General features: G+C 42.1%; 1 protein-coding gene and 1 long non-coding RNA gene across 6 annotated transcripts in view, besides 2 other annotated features; one reads left to right on the forward strand and one right to left on the reverse strand.

Moving 5' to 3' along the window:
* PLXNC1 (plexin C1) overlaps positions 1–19,658 on the forward strand; it is a 159,099-nt gene that overhangs the window by 16,710 nt on the left and 122,731 nt on the right. For all 5 annotated transcript variants that reach the window (NM_005761.3, XM_006719186.5, XM_047428050.1 and 2 more), the window contains exons 2-3: positions 3,867–4,007; positions 16,160–16,294. In NM_005761.3, coding sequence (NP_005752.1) covers positions 3,867–4,007; positions 16,160–16,294 — 276 coding nt within the window. The remainder of the gene's footprint in view (positions 1–3,866; positions 4,008–16,159; positions 16,295–19,658) is intronic.
* On the reverse strand, positions 2,719–11,177 carry PLXNC1-AS1 (PLXNC1 antisense RNA 1). The gene is made up of 2 exons (XR_007063411.1): positions 11,095–11,177; positions 2,719–3,065 (listed from the first exon to the last, which is right to left on the reverse strand). It is a non-coding gene; the product is annotated as a PLXNC1 antisense RNA 1 (long non-coding RNA).
* Positions 4,102–4,797: an enhancer, noted in NCBI's record as "OCT4-NANOG hESC enhancer chr12:94563164-94563859 (GRCh37/hg19 assembly coordinates)". NCBI's record gives its function as "activates a minimal SCP1, AML or CMV promoter by ChIP-STARR-seq in naive H9 embryonic stem cells {active_cell/tissue: H9 hESC(naive)}" and the evidence as "EXISTENCE:reporter gene assay evidence [ECO:0000049][PMID:30033119]".
* Positions 5,925–6,434: an enhancer, noted in NCBI's record as "H3K4me1 hESC enhancer chr12:94564987-94565496 (GRCh37/hg19 assembly coordinates)". NCBI's record gives its function as "activates a minimal SCP1, AML or CMV promoter by ChIP-STARR-seq in primed H9 embryonic stem cells {active_cell/tissue: H9 hESC(primed)}" and the evidence as "EXISTENCE:reporter gene assay evidence [ECO:0000049][PMID:30033119]".

Raw genomic sequence — 19,658 nt, forward strand, 5'->3', positions numbered from 1 at the left:
TTCTTTTGTTTTCATTTGCTGCAATAAGCATAAGAAAGCCATTCAAAGGGTTCCTTTTCCCATTCACAGGGACCTGTCCATTTCTGTGTGTTTCCAGCACAAAAGAATCCATTTCCATTCAGCCAGAGCAGCCCCTAGAGTTTTCATGAGGTCCAAGCCTCCTCTCCTGTTTTCTTCCAGGCTCGCTGTTGTAATAGGCTGCAAAATCCTGACTGTGGCCAGGGTCCTCCAGGCTGGTGAGAGGAACAAGCATTTGTCCACGTCCTGGTCCCTGCAGCTGGGGAAGAACTGCAGTTTAGTGTCCGCTCCAACAAGTTGTGATTGTCATTTCTTAAACAGTGACTTCCTTTTGGTTCCAAGTAGCAGAAAACGCAACCAACAGTGGCTTAAACCATGACAACTATTGTTAACTTAGTAAAATGTTTAAAAGTTGAAGGTCTGCGGCTCAGTGGTGTCTCCAGGAACATAGAATCTCTTTTCTTTCCCCTGCACCAATCTTAGCATGTTGCTTTGTATCCTTCATCTTGAATCTCATGGAAACAGAACGGTTGCCACGAGTCTATGCATGATGAGATCACACAACTGTATTCCAGAGGAGGAAGTGAGGGAAGAGGGCAAACGGGTTCTCCTCAAGAGGCTTCTGTTATCAATGAGGAAACTTATTCCCAGAAATCCTTCCAGTGGACTTCTCACATCTCCCTGCCCAGGACTGGGCCACATGACCACCCTCAGCTCTAAGGGTTAGGAAAGCCAGTGTCTGGCAATAGGGAATGGAGCTGCCATTTGGCTTGGCCCAACGATAGCTTCCACCAGGCTTGGGTTCATTGCTGTCTGAACAAAATTAGGGTTCTTCTTGGCAAAGAGAAAATAACTGCCATGGGTGTGGCAGTAACTTGTGTTTTTAAATGAAGTAATGATAGCAAGCATGGGTTATGTGTTGCTATGTGCCAAACCTGTTCTAAGCTTTACTGAGGCTTACGCACAAACTCACCCAGTCCTCATAAAAAGTCTGTGGCATAAAAAGTCTGTGCTCTTATCATCATTTCCATCATATGGAGGAGAAAACTGAGTCACAGAGAGATTAAATCACATTTACAAAATTACTTAGCTAGAAAGTGACAGAGCCAGGAGTCAAACTTAGGTGGTCTGGCTGGCTCTCTATGCTATACTGCCTTCATTAGGTAAGATGATAAAATACTTCAGGTAGCACACAGTAAGTATTAGTACATGTTAGCTGGTATTATTATTATTATTATTATTATTATTATTATTATTATTATTACTATCATCATCTCTTTTTTGTAACCACCCTGCCAATCAGACACATCAGCCTTATTAGATACTAGAAAGCTAACCCCTAACAGCATTAAATTAATTGCCCAGGTCACACAGTGAGTGAGAACCAAGCTCAAATGTAAACGAGTGCTGGGTGTTCTCTCAAGTTTGAGAATGTTGATTTAATGGCTGCACCACTTACCCATGCTACTTTTTTTTTTTTAAGGTAAGGTCTCACTTTGTTGTCCAGGCTGGAGTGCAGTGGCTCAATCATAGCTCACTGTAACCTGGAACTCCTGGACTCAAGTGATCCACCTGTCTCAGCCTCCTAAATAGGTGGGACAACAGGTGTGTGCCACACATCTGGCTGATTTTTTATCTCTGTAGAGATGGGGGTCTTGCTATGTTGCCCAGGCTGGTCTCCAACTCTTGGCCTCAAGCGATCCTCTCGCCTCAGTTACCTATACTACTGATCCCGGACTTACTTTGAAAAAAAAACTACAATTGTTGAGGACAGCCAGAAATCAGAGAAGGACACCGGGAAAGGTGAGATGGTAATTTGGGACGGATTTTTCCTTGTTCCGTTTTAGCTTTTGAGCTGCCTCTGTTTTCTTGGATCCAGTCTTTTGCAAACAGGATCTCTCATCCCACCTCAGGAAAGGCTACCCATGGTTCTTGGTGAATTAGAACAGGTACAGTATTAAGCACCTACTGTATACCAGACCTGGCTGTACACTGTCCCACCTGGTCCTTGTGGATAATCTACAGTCCACATCCATTACTTTTTCTGTGTTGTGAGATGAAGGGAATGGAGTCCTCTAGCCAGAGATAGTGGTATTAGAACATTCTGGATACCCAGGCAGAGACGATGCCCTATTCTCCGCGTTAGCCTCTCTGCAGTGTTCAAATATTTAATAAAAATAACAGGCATGGTCAGCTGATCTTACGTTTGAACAATTCTGGATTTATTTTAAAGCAAGATGTGTGGCATGGTTTTACTTATTTTTTTAATCCTAAAGGTCATCCGACTTTTCTTTTTCTGCTCATAGTCATGAGGCTTCCTTATCTAAACAGTGATCTATTGTTCCAACCTTAGACCCACAGAGAATTTTTTTCCTTAACTTCAATTTTCACAGGACAGCTCCTCATCTTCCCATATTGCATGAAAAGTATCTTTCAACAAGGGAAAAAGAAACTCTAATGAGCTTTCCCTAAATCTTCTTAAACCGAGTTCACTATAGAATATTTTATGCAAAAACATTGCCTTCTCTTAGGTTATGACATCTTTTCCTTGAAAAGTGATCAGGGCATTGGACAAATCCTGGCTAGCTTATCTTGTCCTTGCAGCGCAACCTCAACAAAGAAATATAGATGGCACTTTAAAGGCTTCAGAAATCAATTTAGTCCCATAATCCATTTAGTTTAGATGTTAATGAAACTTGGTGGGTTTAAAAATAATGAATATTTAATAAGACATAAATTGAAAGACATAAACACTGTTGGCGATAATATAATGAAGTTAATAAGTCTTAGCCTCCCCCTCCCCAAATAGGGCGATTTTAGGAGTTGCTGTGTTGCTTACTGAAGTTTGCTGGCTGCAACTTCAATGTGCCTTTAAAAACCTTAGTACAGTTGGGAACTGAGCTCTGGCAGATAAAGTGTGCTATCACACTGTGTTCAGTAGCTGCAGACGGCAACGGCTCTTCCTAGCTCCATATCTTCCAGAGATTTGTGTAACAAACTCAGTTTCCTGTCGTTGAAGGCAGGATGCAGCACGAAGCACTTCATTCCTTTTAAACAAAAAAGAAAAAGACATTTTGGTCGACACTCTCTCTGCTCTGGGTTTAAAGAGGGGCTTTATTTAATGATCAGGACCAAGCGTGTGATTACATGTGCTCAGAGCCTCAGACAATTTAAATGCCTTCAGGTTGGGAGTTAGACTTTTTGTTTTCCCCTTTAAAAGCATCAGCACCAGGGCCAGCCCTTCAACTTGGTTCCTCCTTAGCTCTGTGGCTCGATCCTACCCATCGTCCACAACTGTATCTTTACCTTTTCACCCCCTCAACTAGCTACCCTGTCTTTAGGCTTCCTGTGGTCCCTTTTGGTAAATCTAGAATCCCTCCTTTCTGCCATCACACCCAACAGGATCGTCCGTGTCACATCTTGGGAAATGTTTGTGTTTAACCTCACAGAAGCCAACGCCTAGCTAAAATGAATTGGCGGCAGGATTTTGAAAACAGCCAAGTATAAGATAGTCTGCCTCCCAATTCAGCGGTGGGCTGTCTCTTGGCACTAAAGTGGAATTCAGCTTCTTATATCAGCTGAGGGGTGTTAGATAGATGGCCAGCTCGCTTTGGCACTCAATACCTGTTCATACATAGTAAACAGGGGTTTTCTTTGGTTGGGCAGGTATGGTGATTTTGCAAGGTAATGAAAGGTTGCTCCCGGGGAATCTAGTCTAAGAGAATATATGTGGGGCCCAGAAGTGAGATCCTGCCTAGGAGGGCATGAGTGACATTTCATCAGTATAATGAGAACTATTGTTGTTAAAAATTATTATTATTTTTTTGTGCGTTTGTGTGCATGTTCAGAAAGAAGGGGATCAACCTGAAAGAGTCCAACCAATCGCATCATCTACCTTGATCCATTCCGACCTGACATCCGTTTATGGCACCGTGGTAATGAACAGGACTGTTTTATTCTTGGGGACTGGAGATGGCCAGTTACTTAAGGTTGGTTTTCTGTGCCTTCTTCAAATGTCTATTTTAATGGTGATATTTTGTACTTTAAAAAAACATTTTTTTAATGCTTCTGGGTTATACATGAGACCAAACCAAGAACTTCATGAACTCCTTAAAGACCCCCAGAAATGGCCTGGAAGAAAATCTGGAATTCTGTATGTAAGAATGCCCCGTAGCCATGTAATGAAGTATCAGCTACCTTGCTGCCCAGGAGTGCACCAAGATGTTTTTCCTTCCTTACTCATAAGCCAGCTGGGTGAGGTAAATGGAGGTCTGGTCCCTACCCCAACCCTGACTCACCTTCCCAAGACATGTAACCTTTTAGTTCTAGCTCCTTTATCATGGAAATGTACAAAGCACCTGATTTCTCACAACTTGAAAGAGATGAGAGATTATAGGGCTTGAAAAGAAGAAAAAACAGGTGTTCTTTCCCTCCAGCCCACTTACCACCCACAGAGGGGGTTTGTTTTTTGCCCTTTGTACCCACACACACCACAGAGAGGTTAGAGATCTAAAATCCTTTGAGACTCCTCTTGACTTTTATCTCAGAGGACTATTTCTTCTCCACTGTGTGGACACACCCCGGTCAAGTGCAGGTTTTTATTCACTTAGGAGAGGGGAAGAGGGGAGGAGGAGAAAATAAAATCAGAGATACCAAATGACTTGTCTGAAGTTATCTAGCGTTCATCTTATCAATGTCATCAGCAAGCATTTATTGAAGACCTTCTGTGGTCTCCAACAACATTCCTGGTCAGGAACTGCACCATTTCTATGACTAAAGACTGAGATTCCTTGGCTTCTCTGCAGCCATCCATTTACTCTCAGCTCAGATTTTTAATCGAGTAATGGTAGATCTGTTTCCCTCAACTGATCTCCCACAGATAACTCGCTGTGTGACTTTAGGTGAATTGCTTAACCTCTCTGAGCCTTCATTTCCTTACCAGTAAAATACAGTTCTACTAGACAACCCAGAAAAACGCTTTCCTCTTCTGAAAGTCTCTAATTCTGTCTTCTGCACACGTATTCCCCACCATCCCCATCCCCAAGCCAAACCTATTTACTTGCTCCTGTTTGATCCTGTTTCCAAATATGATCCTGTTTCCACACTTGCTCACACTGTACCTCCAGCCTGAAATGCTTTTTTCTTTTTTCTCTTATTTACGGCACCTTATGTGTCTATGCTGTGGCTCAGCTCAAACCCCACCTCCTCTTTGATGACATCTAGGCCTGGAGTGACCTTGCTCTCCTCTCATTTCCTGAAATACTCATGATCTATGTCATTCTTGTGGCTCATTCCAAATGTCTTGCCTGGAGACCTCACCTTTTCACTGGTGTCTGTCTTGCCTTCCCAACTTGATTTTAAGCCTCATGAGAAGGGGGCCATGAATTCCCACAGCCTAATACAGTGCTGAGTGCCTGGTAGGCATTTGATTTAATCTGTTTTCTTTGGAGGAAACCCAGTAACATATGGGAGGGAGTTTGTTTGTATACACATTCTTTTAAAATATACATTGATCATCTTTCCTGTTGTGTTAGCTTTATTTCCTGGGGAAGGGTAAATACCCATCCATCATTCTACACAAGTCACTGGGTGACGTCTGTAGCTCCACCAACCTGGTCAGGCTTATTGGACCCATTTGCCTGGCGGGAGTTTCCATCAAGCCTTTCTGGGCCTCCTCACCAATTATCTCTTCAGATTTGGGATGTTTTTGATGAGTGTTTTGACAAGAACACTGTTTCCCCAAAGCCGAGCCAACCAAACCGCTACATGGTGAATTGGAGGTGAAGGAACACTCGTCTATAAATAGTTCCCCATGGGATGGCCTGGTTTTGCCTGTCCTGTGTGTTCACCCAGCAGCCTGCATGCCGCTGGCCAGCTTTTAGCGATGTTGTGGCAACCAGGGAGTGGACCAAGCTGCAGCTTCATGCTGCTGAGGAGGCCGCAGCCGACCGAAGTCTCGCTCTCCTCAGGATCTGTATGGGGTACCCATTCAGAAGCCACCTGTGTGGCCTCGTTGTTTTTTTCAAGGTTTGAATAACAAAGGCAGCTTTTTGTTGTTTGTTTTGTGACTGCTAACATTTACACAGTGCTTCCTAGATGCCAAGGGACTCTATATCTTCTACCGAATTCAGTCCTCTCCATGACACAATGGGGCAGGCCTACTATTCCCATTTTACAGATGAGGGAATCGAGGCCCAGAGAAATGGGATGATTGTTGTTCAAGGTCACACAGGGGCAGAGCAGGGATTTGAACCTGGAATGACTTCAGAGACTGCACTAAGATCCCCTATGCTGCACTGACTTTGCAACCTCTGCCGCACACATTGGTACTACTCTCTGAGGATTCCGGGGGCACATGGGAGACATGCAGATAGGGTTCCATGCCGTGGCTGGGGACACATGCTCCTGGGGTGAGTCAGCCTTCCTAGAGGCTCAGGAAAGAGTCCCAGCTTGAGAATAAGGCGGACCATCTGACTGAGGAAATACCTCACTGGCGTGGTAACTTCTTGGGAATTAACACCCACCCCCCAAGCCCCCAATAAGAGAGAAGTTCTCTCACTCAGGAGAAGGGTGTGAGGGATGAACTTGAGCTGACTTGCCCCACCAGGCTCCCTAGGGCAGCTCAGTAATGCCCAAGCCTCTCCCCTGTATCCTGTGTACAGATTCTTGGATGTAGCCCCTGAATTTACCCAGAATCCTGAAGACCCAGGATCGTGTGGATGATTTGGAAACTACCGATAATCCTCAAATCCCTTTATTCAGAAGCTTTCAGCTTCTCCCTTGCCAAGGCTTGTCACCAGAACTGTTAGAAAGGATGAACACTGATAGACACAAGCTTGGCTCCTTAAGCCACAGCGTGGGGGAACTAATGAGCGGCAAAAAACAAAACTCAACCCAACGCAGACAGTAGGAGGAGGAGAAGAAAGAGGGCTTGGATCAGCCACAGCCTGACTCATCAGTTTCTGAGTGATCATGAGTTGACGGCATTTTGACATGTGCCAGGCACTGTTGTGTATACCTTGTTGAATGAGAGTCAGGAAACAGCAATTGGGGCCCAACTGCTGTTTTTTACCACCACCAGTAAAAACCTGACTTCTTAAATCTCTGCAAATCCTGTGAGTTTTAATATAATTTGGTGCAATTTTAAGCCTCATGTTATTTAAATAATTTTTCCTTATTGTAAAGGTAATATATGCTCATGTAAAAAGTTGCAGAGTCGTCGGGGGTGAGAGGACAACAAAGAAAAAATTACCCCTAATCATGTCATGCAGAAGCAACTGCTGTCAGCATTTTGGATTCTCTATTTATGTAGTTGAGGTCAGGTTTTGCATCCTTTTCTTCAGTTAGTGAGGGAAAATGCTTACATTAAAATGTTATTGCAAACCCTTTGTAAAAAGTATTTTTAAATAACTATATCATATTCTATTATTTGGGTACATTATTTTGAACTTAAGCTAAGATACTGGATCACTTTTAAAGTATCTTTAAAGACATGCATTTTCCAAGGAAGACGGCATTACCTCCAAAGGTAAGATTTCACTGATAATCTGTGAAGAAACTAAAGGCTACAGTATGCCAGTACCTTTACTGTCCTCCTTCTCTTGCCTATAGACCTAAGTCCCTTTATAAGATTTTGGGGAAATAGAAGGAATTTAGAGCTCAAAGGGTCCTTTGAGAGCATCTAATCTGCTCTTTTATTTTATCGGTGTACCGTCCCATGGTCGTGAGGTGAGTTATGTCTAGTCACCCCCGCAGTTATTTCCCCATCCTGCTTCTTTTCGGAACATGATTGCATGCCGGGTTTTTTTCAGTCGTCAGCATCTCCACTGAGATCAGCTGAAAAGTATGGTCACACTGAACTCAGCTTTGGGGAATTCACACTGCACGTGTTGCACAATGTATGCATTTCTGTAAACACACACCGAGTCTTTCTCCAGATTATAGTACAGCCTATCATGTGGTTTGGATTCCTTTGAGCTGACTCTGTTGCCCATAGAAAATTGTCCTTATTTCAAAGGCAGAATTGCATATTTTGAGCTTTTCCAGGTGGTAAAGTAAGTAATAACAGAATATGCATGAAATTTGAAATTTGTAACTTTATGCATGCCCATTAACCTTCGTGTAAGCATAAAAGATAAGAAGGCAATGGGCAAGGAAGAATAATCGCTAACATTTCTGAGCTCTTCCTGTGTGCTGGGCATTAGAACCAGCATCTGCACGGGTTAACTGGTTTAATCCTTACCAGTCAATACTCTCACCATCCCCACTTTATAAATGAAAAAACCTGAGGCCTCGAGAGGTTAGGTATCTTTTTCAAGGTGCTCTGAACCAAAATAATCTGTCCCAGAGCCCGAGCTTCTATCCCCCAACTAAACTGCATTAACTCTTACAGAGCTTAGTAGAGTTTGAGAGCTGGTTTTTGTTATATTTCTTTCTAATACTGGGGTATAAGGGTTGATACCAAGATGCAGATGTTTGAGGTTTCATAAGAAGGGGCCGAGAACCCTGTGGTTTAGTTTGTTCCTATTTGGGGATGGCTTCCTGGCAACCCAGCTGAGTGCAGAGCCCGCTCCTCTCTGAGCTGCGCGTAGTCCACGGGGGTCTCTGAATCTCCTTTGGGGCCCCAGCTTTACCCCAGTGGGCTCCTTTGTAGGAAAGGTAGGAATTCTGTATTCAAGTTGCTGTTTTGAATGGTGTCAGCAGTAAAGACTAGTGTCTCCCCGACCTCCCAGGGACTGCAGTAGGGTTCAGGATACAGGAAGCTATATCACATAGCTCTATCCTGTCCCCATATCCAGTCTTGAGGTATTTCCTATGTGCTTGGGCTCAGACTGGTTACCTATGTGGCCCTCTACTCCCACTTAATGGCTTTCTTTTGTTTATTTTTTTTTCTTTTTTGAGCCAAGGTCTGGCTCTGTTGCCCAGGCTGGAGTGCAGTGGTGCAGTCTCGGCTCACTACAACCTCTGTCTCCCAGGCTTAAGCGATCCTCCCACCTCAGCCTCTTGAGTAGCTGGGACTACAGACCTGTGCCCCCACACCTGGCTAATTTTTTTGTATGGACAGGGTTTTGCCATGTTGCCCAGGCTGGTCTCAAACTCCTAGGCTCAAGAGATCCTCCCACCTCGGCCTTCCAAAGAGCTGGGATTACAGGCATGAGCCACTGCACACGGCGCCACTCAGGGATTTCGTTTATTCAAATCACAGCAAAATTAAACCGGTTCCAAAAAGTTCTGTCTGAATTCAAACAGAAGCAAAAACTCTGTACTGCCTAAAGAGTCTGCCTTGACTCTGGTTATTGAAGTTTTTGAATGAATGTCAGAGAAAAAAATCTTTTGTAAAGGCAAGCTGTACTATATACCCAGAAGATGTTCAAATAAGGAATAGGAGAACTTGGGGAACCTAGAACAGGACCTGGGACCGGAAGTGGTGGTGGTGGTGGGGATGACTGAGCTAACAGACCAAAAAGTTAAAACAGGAGGAAGTGTCAAAACTTGGAAGTGGGTTCATTGGTTGGCTGTTTAGGATGTCATGTGAAGCCTGCTTCAAGTTCTCCCCACCTCATTAATTGCAATTTATGAGTTTGCAGGGACTCCCCAGTTTGAAACTTTTAGTCCCATATAATCCACAAATCTAGAACCTGTGGTTCAGACTGTATGCTTCTCTTACTACCTACACTGCAATAAGTAGATTGGAAACAAAAGAGAAATTTGCCTTGATCTTTATATTTCATCTTTGTTACTCCTAACTACTGAGGCACATTAAATACTTACCTTGCTTTCTCCTGTGTGTGCATGTGTGTGTGTGTGCACGCATGCACAGGCATGCACGTGTGTGTATATGTATGCAGGCATGCACGTGCATATGTGTGTGTGAGCTTGTGTGTGTGTATGTGTGGTTTAAGTCTCCTTCCCAGCATTTCTCAGAAACTGCTTATGGAAAAAAATAATAATAAATGAAAGGGTTGGCTTGTTTGCCCTTCAACTGGTTAGCCCCACAGAGTGAGGCATAGGAAATTAAATTTGGCATAAAATATTATAGCTTTTTGAACACCCGTGGCTTTTCCATCTCATGGTAATCGTAAAGAAAAAAAAATAGTTTTTTGTTTAATTTTTCTCCCCCCTCATTTTCCTCACCATGATATCCTTCCTGTGGGTGATCTTGAACCTGTCTTACAATTGTATGGTGTTGAAATCTCCACTCAGTTAATTTCAGCAGTGTAGTTGGGAGTTTTATATGCAACAAAAATCCCAAGGCTCGTTAATAGTCTACCATGAGGCTTCAGGAAGACATCAACAGAAACAATATGTTGACACGAACTGAAATTCTCCATCAGAGAAAATTTGTTTTCTACACAGGCTTCAGCTGGAAAAAGCTGAAGAGCCCTATAAAATCTTGAATGCTAATAGCGTCGTTTTTCATTTAATAAATATCTACTGGGCACCTTGTATGTGCCAGGCACTGTTCTGGGTGCTGAATATACAAAGGTGAACAAAACAGACAATGCCCTTGCTCTGCTGGTGGGAAGAAAAAGACAGAAAACAAGTAAATGGATTAATCAGCGATAAAGACACTTCAGATAGTGCTATGAAGAAAATACAGTGATGGGTAGAGAGTGACAGAGGTGTTCAGCGGAGAAGTGATCAGGGAAGGCTTCTCAGAGGAGGTGATGTTGGAGACTTGAAAGATAAAGGAGTATACAAGCATACACATGGAGAAGGTTCAGATTGACTTCAGATTAGATCTATATTAAGGTCGTATCCTGGAAGATAAAAATCCACATCGTGCCCAAGGATTGTGTGTGTGAATTGGATGAGATTTCTCTTATGCAAAATTCAACCCGTTTTGGGTTTTTGTGACTCATTGTTACTTCCTGCATTGCTTCACTGATCATGTTCTTTTTCCGAGGCTGCCCACCTAAACTGAGCTGAGGAAGGAACGTTTCCCTTGCTCCAGTCTTGCTGGCTTTTGTCTGTGTGTTGATATTCTCCTGAAGTTTGCAATTAGAAAGTCCAAGTGTTCCATTAGTGCCTGTGGGCTGGGGCTCGGGCTAGGTGAGAGATGATATGAACACTGACCTGTCCTTTAGTCATCTGAGAGAGATGAGACTCCAGGGGCCACGGAAGCAGAAATCCCTCACCCCTCTGTGTAGCACATTTGGGACCTTTGTGGTGAAAACTAAAACTTCCTCTTGTCCTGTCCTCAGGATTATGGAGAGCATTGTTTGCATAATCTAGCAAAAAGAAAAACAATTTGACTCACTCACCCTCAAGGATTTTTAAATTTAAATGTTATATATTTATTTTTAAGGTAATACAATGATATTGTTTAAAACTCAAAAGAACCAAGAAAATATTCCGTGAAAGGCACCTGGTCTTGACTTCCAAGGCAACCAATGATAGTAGTTTCATGGGTATCTTTCCAGAGATAGTTTATATCTGTCTACAGGCAAAAGAGTGAAGATATTCTTCCTCCCTTTTGTTGAAACATAAAACACAGTAAACATATATGTTATATATGTAAAAATACCTGTATATGTAAATATGTCTATATTTATAGATATATGTACATATTTCATATAACTTTAAATATAACACAAAGAGCTTTCTAATTATTTTTATAGCTAAATAGTATTTCCTTGTTTGTACTATAGTTTACTTAACCAGTTCCCTATTGCTGGAGATTTAAGTTGTTTTAATCTTTTCTTTATAACATACAATGCTACAATGAATATATGTCATTTCATATATATGTGTGTGTGTGTGTGTGTGTGTGTATATATATATGTGTATATATATATGTGTGTGTGTATATATGTGTGTGTGTGTATATATATGTGTGTGTGTGTATATATATATGTATATATATATATACGTATATATATGTATATATATATACGTATATATATATGTGTGTGTATATATATACATATATATATATATATATATATGTATATATATATGAGGGGCTGCAGGGTCCAAGGGTATGTCCTTTGTAATTTTGATAGATGATGCCAAATTACCTTCTAGAGAGGTCTGGCTTCCACCACTGAGGAAACATACTAATTTAAACCCAGCATCTATGGCTATCAGGACAAGCTTCAGTGCAAGCCACGCTAAGTAGCTTTTTCAGGAAACTGATTGGTAAATCCTGGGCCACAGAACTTTTTGATAACTTGTAAAAAAAGAAAGAAAGAAAAACAAAGAAAGAAAGAGAGAGAGAGGGAGAAAGAAAGAAAGAGAGAGAAAGAAAAAGAAAGAGAGAGAGGTAAGGAAGGAAAGGAAAGGAGAAAGGAAGGGAGAGGAGAGGAGAGGAGAAAGGAAAGGAAAAGCTTCCTTGCCACAATTCAGAGTTCTAGAGAGAATATTGATGCTTCATTTCCAAGGTACCAAGTAAATAAATCAATGTTGCACCCAACTAGATCTTGCTGACCATCTGTATCAATGATGCTCCAAGAGTAAATAAAATAAGCCCCCAATAAAAACTGCAGTGCAGCTCCTAATTTACGTAAAATGGATGAGTGGTGGTGTAAAGTATGTTTTTACTTTGTTATTTTAAAGCAAACCCCACAGACATGATGTCGTTTCACCTCAACATATTTCGTTATGCATCTCTCAAAACCTACAGTTGTTTTCTTAAATAATAGTAACCATAATGCCATGATCACAGCTAATAAAATTATCAGTCATTCTTTAGGATCACTTACTATCCAGTCTGTGTAACTAAGTATTCCCAATTGATTCAAAAAGGTATTTTAAATGGTTTTGTTCAAATTGGTATCTGCACAAAGTCCTCAAACCAAATTTGGTTGTTCTATTATCTAGAGCAGTCTCCTCCCTTACTTTTATTCCCTGCCACTGACTTAACTGAAAAAACCAGGTATTTTGCCCTATAGAATGTCTCTTATCATGTGTTTGGCTTTTTGCTTCCTTGTGGTGTCATTTAGCTTGTTCCTCTACTCCTGCTTCCTAGTGCTAAATGGAAGTTAGTGCTAAAGACTTGACTAGATTCAGTTTCAACTTTATTGGCAAGAATACATTATGGGTGGTGCTGCCCAATGATGCTTTTGCCATGATGAATTCCTGAAGAGATACCAGGGCAGCAGCTTCTCTTCTCTTGACCCTTCCTTGATAATATTTCTATCAGTGTTTGTTTAAAAAAAACAAAAACTGGCTTCCTGTTTCTCTTTCCCTATACAACTGCTTTCCAGAACCAGATCAACTGAATCTGAGCTGATTAATACAGCTAATGAATTAGAGACGGCAAATCCTGGCAAGCCCATACCTTGGTCAGTGCCTGTCCCTTGGCTCCACTTACAGGATTCTGTAGAGCAGTGTTGGCCAAGAGAACTTTCTGTAGTGATAGAAATGTTCTACATCTGTACTCTCCAGTATGGTAGCCAGTCACCTTAGGTAGCTAGTGAACACTTGAAATGTTGCTAGTGTTTTTAATTAAATGTAAATTTTTAATTAAATTTAAATAGCCATTATGTGGCTAGCGGCTGTCATATTTGATAGTGCAGCTATAAAGTCGTTTTAAAATGACTTGAGACACACACCTTTCCCACCTCCCTTAGGACCTAACTGCTTCTGTTTTAAAAAGAGCTTTTAAGAAGTCATATTTCATATGTTTGGTTAGTGAGATTGACTTTTACAAAGCTGCTGCTGAATTTGATGAGCAGTCCAAGGGCTTCAAGTGAGCCACTATTTGCACCAAATCCACCTGGGCTTGGCCCAAGCAGATGATGGAAGGAAGTCACTGATCGCAGGGCAAAGCTAGACTCGGGCCCAGGTCCTGGAAAGGAGAAGTGAATGCGGGAAGTTGCTCTGTGCAAAATTGATAAGAAGCCTTTGGCTAAACAGCAAATCCCTAACTGCCATCAGGATATGTGGGAACAGGCATATTATTGATTAGTAGATGTGTGAAGTAGACTTTGTCCAAAAAGAATCTCAGGTGCCAAATTTTTCTTTTGAAACCATGCGCCCAATGTGGCTGATGTCTACAGTGGTAGAGATATGAATACAGATAATCTATCTGGATGTGTTCAAACTGACAAAATGTTGAACACCTTCACTTTTCAAAGTAGTGGGTACAAATTGTGTTAGGTACAAAGAAGATTAAAGGTTAGGTACAAAGGTGATTAAGACATGGTCCCAGGCCAGGCACGGTGGCTCACGCCTGTAATCCCACCACTTTGGGAGGCAGAGGCGAGCGGATCACCTCAGGTCAGGAGTTCAAGACCAGCCTGGCCAACATGGTGAAACCCCGTCTCTACTAAAAATACAAAAATTAGCTGGGTGTGGTGGCGCATGTCTGTAGTCCCAGCTATTCAGGAGGCTGAGGCAAGAGAATGGCTTGAACCTGGGAAGCAGAGGTTGCAGTGAGCCAAGATCGCACCACTGCACTCCAGTCTGGGCGACTGAGTAAGACTCCATCTCAAAAAAAAAAAAAAAAAAAAATGACATGGTCCCTGCGCAAAAGGAGCTTGCAATCTAGTAACAGATTATTATCTATTGACTATTGATTATGTGCTAAGCATCTTTCATAGTTCTTATTTGATCCTTACAAAACTGTAATAAGGAAGGCACTATTAGCCCCATTTTAGAGATGAGGAAATTGAGGCCTAGGGAGATTAAGTTACCAGTTCAAAGTAGTGCAGCTACTTAAAGGATGGAGGCAGGATGCAAACTCAAGCTTAAGCCACCATTATACTTCTCTAGCACTATAGGATTCGAGTCTCCCGATGGCTCTTCATACCCACACTTCAAACCCTGCCTTCTTACCATCTCCTCTTGCTCCTTGACCCAAAGCCCTGCCATGGCCTCCTCTCTCTCATCTACAGTAAAAGGCAGGCTGTTTACACAGGCCCACAAGACCCTTGATTATCATTCCCCTGTTATCTTACTATCTTACTGTTCACTCCTCTACCTCTCTCCACTGAAGCCACCCTGGCCTCCTCCCATTTTAGTTTCTTTGCACTGACAGGGCTGCTTTTAAGAACATGTTTCATTCAAGTATGAAAATAACTCATCTCCTGCAAGTCTAAATAAATATCACCTTTTCAGTGACACCTACCCTGAACATATATTCTCTTAACCCCTGACCCCACTATATTTTATAATTTACTTTTTTCTTATTAATAGTCTGCTGTTACTCACCCCACCATACACACACAGGAATGTAAGTTCTATGAGGTCAGGAGCTCTCCCTTCCCCATTTTGTTCACTGCCATTTTTCAAACACCCAGAACAGTGCTGGGTACATAATGGGTGTTGGGTAGATGTTTGTTGACTGAAGATGGATGAAGCTCAGGTGTGTCCAATTTCAAAACCACTGAGTACTGAGTCACACTTGCGTATATTTTATATGTGAACACAAACCTACTTGTCTGTATCTGCCAAGTTAATCTGGGTCACTTCTAACTGTATGATGATCAGAGTATCCTGTGCAAATACATGTGGGAGCTACTTCCTTTAATTTCCAGTCTCTCTTGAGACAGCACTAATGAAGCTGTCACTTGTGGCTTCCTATAGGGCCAGACATGGTCAGAAATTGTGGTCAGCCAGCTTCCACATATGAGGATACTACCCCAGCCCTGAAGAGCGGCTTTTTTTGTTTGTTCATTTTTGGTAACTTTGCCTTTACAAAAGAAGAAATATTATGCTTGTTATTACCAGCCTTGTTGAGGACTGAGATGTGGGAGGATGATTAAGGAGCATGGTACCTTAGGCAGTATTTGTAGTGAGTGAAAAAGGATGTAGCTTTATGATTAAGCTACAATTTTTGCCACCCTGCTATTCAAAGTGTTGAATAGAGGCCGGAAGTGGTGGCTCACACCTGTTACCCCAGCACTTTGGGAGGCTGAGGCGGGTGGATCACGAGGTCAGGAGATCAAAACCATCCTGGCCAACGTAGTGAAACCCCATCTCTACTAAAAAAAATTAGCTGGGTGTGGTGCATCTATAGTCCCAGCTACTTGGGAGGCTGAGGCAGTGGAATTGCTTGAACCTGGGAGGCGGAGGTTGCAGTGAGCCAAGATCATGCCAATGCATTCCAGCCTGGCGACAGAGCGAGATTCCGTCTCAAAAAAAAAAAAAAGTATTAAATAGAAATCATGTTTCTCTTTTTGAAAAAAAAAAATAGGTTATTCTTGGTGAGAATTTGACTTCAAATTGTCCAGAGGTTATCTATGAAATTAAAGAAGAGACACCTGTTTTCTACAAACTCGTTCCTGATCCTGTGAAGAATATCTACATTTATCTAACAGCTGGGAAAGAGGTAGGTAGAAATACTAGTTATTGCTTCTGATTTATGAATAAAAATGGTTTAATTGATGTCATTATCTAGTAGCAAAGCTTTTACTTTGAACTACAGAGTTTAAGCAGTGCCCCAGGCTTTGAGGAGACCCGCAGTGGTTCACAGGCACGGAATTAAAAACCTTACTGACTGTCAGTAAGTAAGCAAGAAATATTATCTATTTAGACAATTTTATTATTGGCTATATTTCCAGTGCCAAGTTTTTCAGAGGAGGGTGTGCTTGGAAATGGGCGCATAATCAGCAAGGTAACTGAATTTACACATTTATTGTGTGGGCACTGAACGGTTAGATGCATTTATGAATATACCCAATGGGACTGGCTTTGGAATTTGGGGTTAATATCAGGCCACAGTCTCATACACATTCATGAACCAGGAAATATATGGTACTCCCCCTCCCCCTCTTCATTTATCTTGCTGTTTTGGCTTTTCTTTTGCTTCTGCTTACTGAAATAAAAGTAATATATTTTTATATTTTCTTCATCTTTACCAAGTGCTGTCACCAAGGGAAGGGGAAAAGAAACTAATTGTTAATGAGTCTCTACTATGCATTAGTCACTATTCTTTGCATGATCTCTGTCTAGGTGCATAGAATTGTGTACATATACATACACACAAGTGTAGAAAACAGTGTTAATGAAATGTGTTACTGACCGGGCATAGTGGCTCATGCCTGTCACCCCAGCACTTTGGGAGGCTGAGGCAGGAGGATCACTTGAGGCCAGGAGTTTAAGGCTGCAGTGAGCCATGATCAAACCACTGTACCCTAGCCTGGGTGATGGAGCAAGACCCTGTCTCAAAAAAAAAAAAAAAAAAAAAAAAAAGGCTGGGCATGGTGGCTCACACCTATAATCCTAGCACTCTGGGAAGCCAAGGCAGGGATCACCTGAGTTCAGACGTTCAAGACCAGCCTGGGCAACATGATGAAACCCCATCTCCACTAAAAATACAAACAATTAGCTGGGCGTGGTGGTGCATGCCTGTAATCCCAGCTACTTGGGAGGCTGAAGAACAAGAATCGCTTGAAACCAGGAGGTGGAGTTTGCAGTGAGCTGACATCACACCACTGCACCCCAGCCTGGGCAACAGAGTGAGACTCTGTCTCAAAAAAGAAAAAAAAAAGAAAGAAGAAGAAAAAGAAATGTGTTATTAATTTAATAAAAATAAATGTGTTATTAATTTATTTTATGTGAAGAATCTAAGACTTGGAGAGGTTAAATAACTTGTTCAAGAATATCTGTATCTATCTATCTATCTATCTATCTATCTATCTATCTATCTATCTATCATCTATCTATCTATCTATAGGTTAGCCTTTGCAGGGCTGTGACAAAAACTCAACCCTGATTCTAAAGCCTCTGATAAATGATATTAAATCCAAAATTTGTGAAAACTGGACATTCCCTGGCTCAGTGGTTTTGACCTATGACCGTTTGAACATGGAAAGTGCAAAGAAGATAATTGAGACTTACATAATTATATAATGGATGTAACAGATACTCTCAGCCCAACCCTGGTTTTCCATTCTTTTCCTTTCAGTCATTCTAAGGAAAATAGCAATGACAGCAATCTACATGTGCTTTTTGAGTCACAGATAAGATGTGCAAGCAATTTGTAGTTTCTGGTATTCTTATAAAGACGATACTGTTCTTTGCACATTGAAAAGTCAGTTATATCAAAATGACCACACTGAGATGGCCACATCTTCCCACAGAGCTTGTAAACCAGTCCTTCACCATATAGAATCTCCTATGCCAATTTGCTTCACCATGCAGACACTTTGTATTATGTTTCTTCCCTGGGGATCCCATCTTTGAAAGACTTTTGTCTACCCAACAAACTGCACATATTAAGTAACAGTTCCCATTCCCAGGGTTTATTTATCAAGGGCGTCTCAAAACTGCCGGTCAGAGTACTGACTGTGTTCCCACATGGAGCTGATAAAATTCCAACCCAAAGCAAAGAAACTTGATATCTTCCTTAATCCATGCGTGTTTTTCCATTCAGCTGTCTGAAATATTGCAAATAGCTCATAAGCCCCCATTACTTCCTTCATGGATAGTAATGGAACCCCAGAACTCAGGACCCCAGGCTGGGAACCATTATGAAAAGCCACCAGTAGTTGATGGGTTCCCACTTTCTAGAAAGCAAAAAGTTCTAGCCTCTGATCATTCAAAGCCTGAAGTCCTGGGAAGAGTTTTTGACTGGGCATCAAAGCTGGTTAGCCCTGCATTCTTCACTGAGGATTACTGCTAGAGATCCTACTGTTTGAACTCTGGCTGAGCAAATATAACGCCTAAAGAGACAAAGTCCAAGGAAGGCTCTTGGGGAGATAAGAACAGCCAAACTAATAAGCTATGGGATATCCATAAAATGGTATGATACGGGGCCGCTAAAAATAATCATATGGAGATGTAGGCATTGATATGGAATAGTCACTACGGTCTGTTATTAAATTAGAGGGCAGGTCTAATGTAGTATTTTTAGTGTCCTCTCTCTCTCTCTCTTTTTTTTTTTTATGGAGTCTTGCTCTGTCACCCAGCCTGGAGTGCAGTGGCGCAATCTCAGCTCACTGCAACCTCCGCCTCCACAGGTTCAAGCAGTTCTCCTGTCTCAGCCTCCCTAGTAGCTGGGACTACAGTCACACGCTACCATGCCCGGCTAATTTTTGTATTTTTTTTTTTTTAATAGAGACGGGGTTTCACCATACTGGTCAGGCTGGTCTCAAACTCCTGACCTCAGGTGATCCACCCACCTCAGCCTCCCAAAGTGCTGGGATTATAGGCGTGAGCCACCTCGCCTGGCCCTCTCTCATTTTTTTTTGAAACAGAGTCTCACTGTCGCCCAGGCTGGAGTGCAGTGGTGTGATCTTGGCTCACTGCAACCTCCACCTCCTGAGTTCAAGAGATTCTCCTGCCTCAGCCTCCTGACTAGCTGGGATTACAGACGCCCACCACTATGCCCAGCTAAATTTTGTATTTTTAGTAGAGACAGAGTTGGCCAGACTGGTCTCCAACTCCAGGCCTGAAGTGATCTGTCCACCTCAGCCTCCCAAAGTGCTGGGATTACAGGTGTGAGCCACCACGGCCAGCCAGTGTCCTCCCTCTTATACAGAGTTATATTTGTGTGTTTAAATAGACTGAGTAATAGTTCTCAGAGAATGTTCTGGAGACCCATATTCCACAGAATGCTCTGAGCAAAAGTGGTCCCAGAACCAGCTGTTACTTACTATACCCCTCCTGGAATACTGTGAGGCTCAGCATAGTCAAAGGCTCCGAGAAGCCCTGTGCTAAGGAAACCCGTTTTGCTTTTTCAGTCTGAGGTT

The sequence above is a fragment of the Homo sapiens genome, chromosome 12 (assembly GCF_000001405.40).
Source record: "Homo sapiens chromosome 12, GRCh38.p14 Primary Assembly".
NCBI lineage: Eukaryota > Metazoa > Chordata > Mammalia > Primates > Hominidae > Homo > Homo sapiens.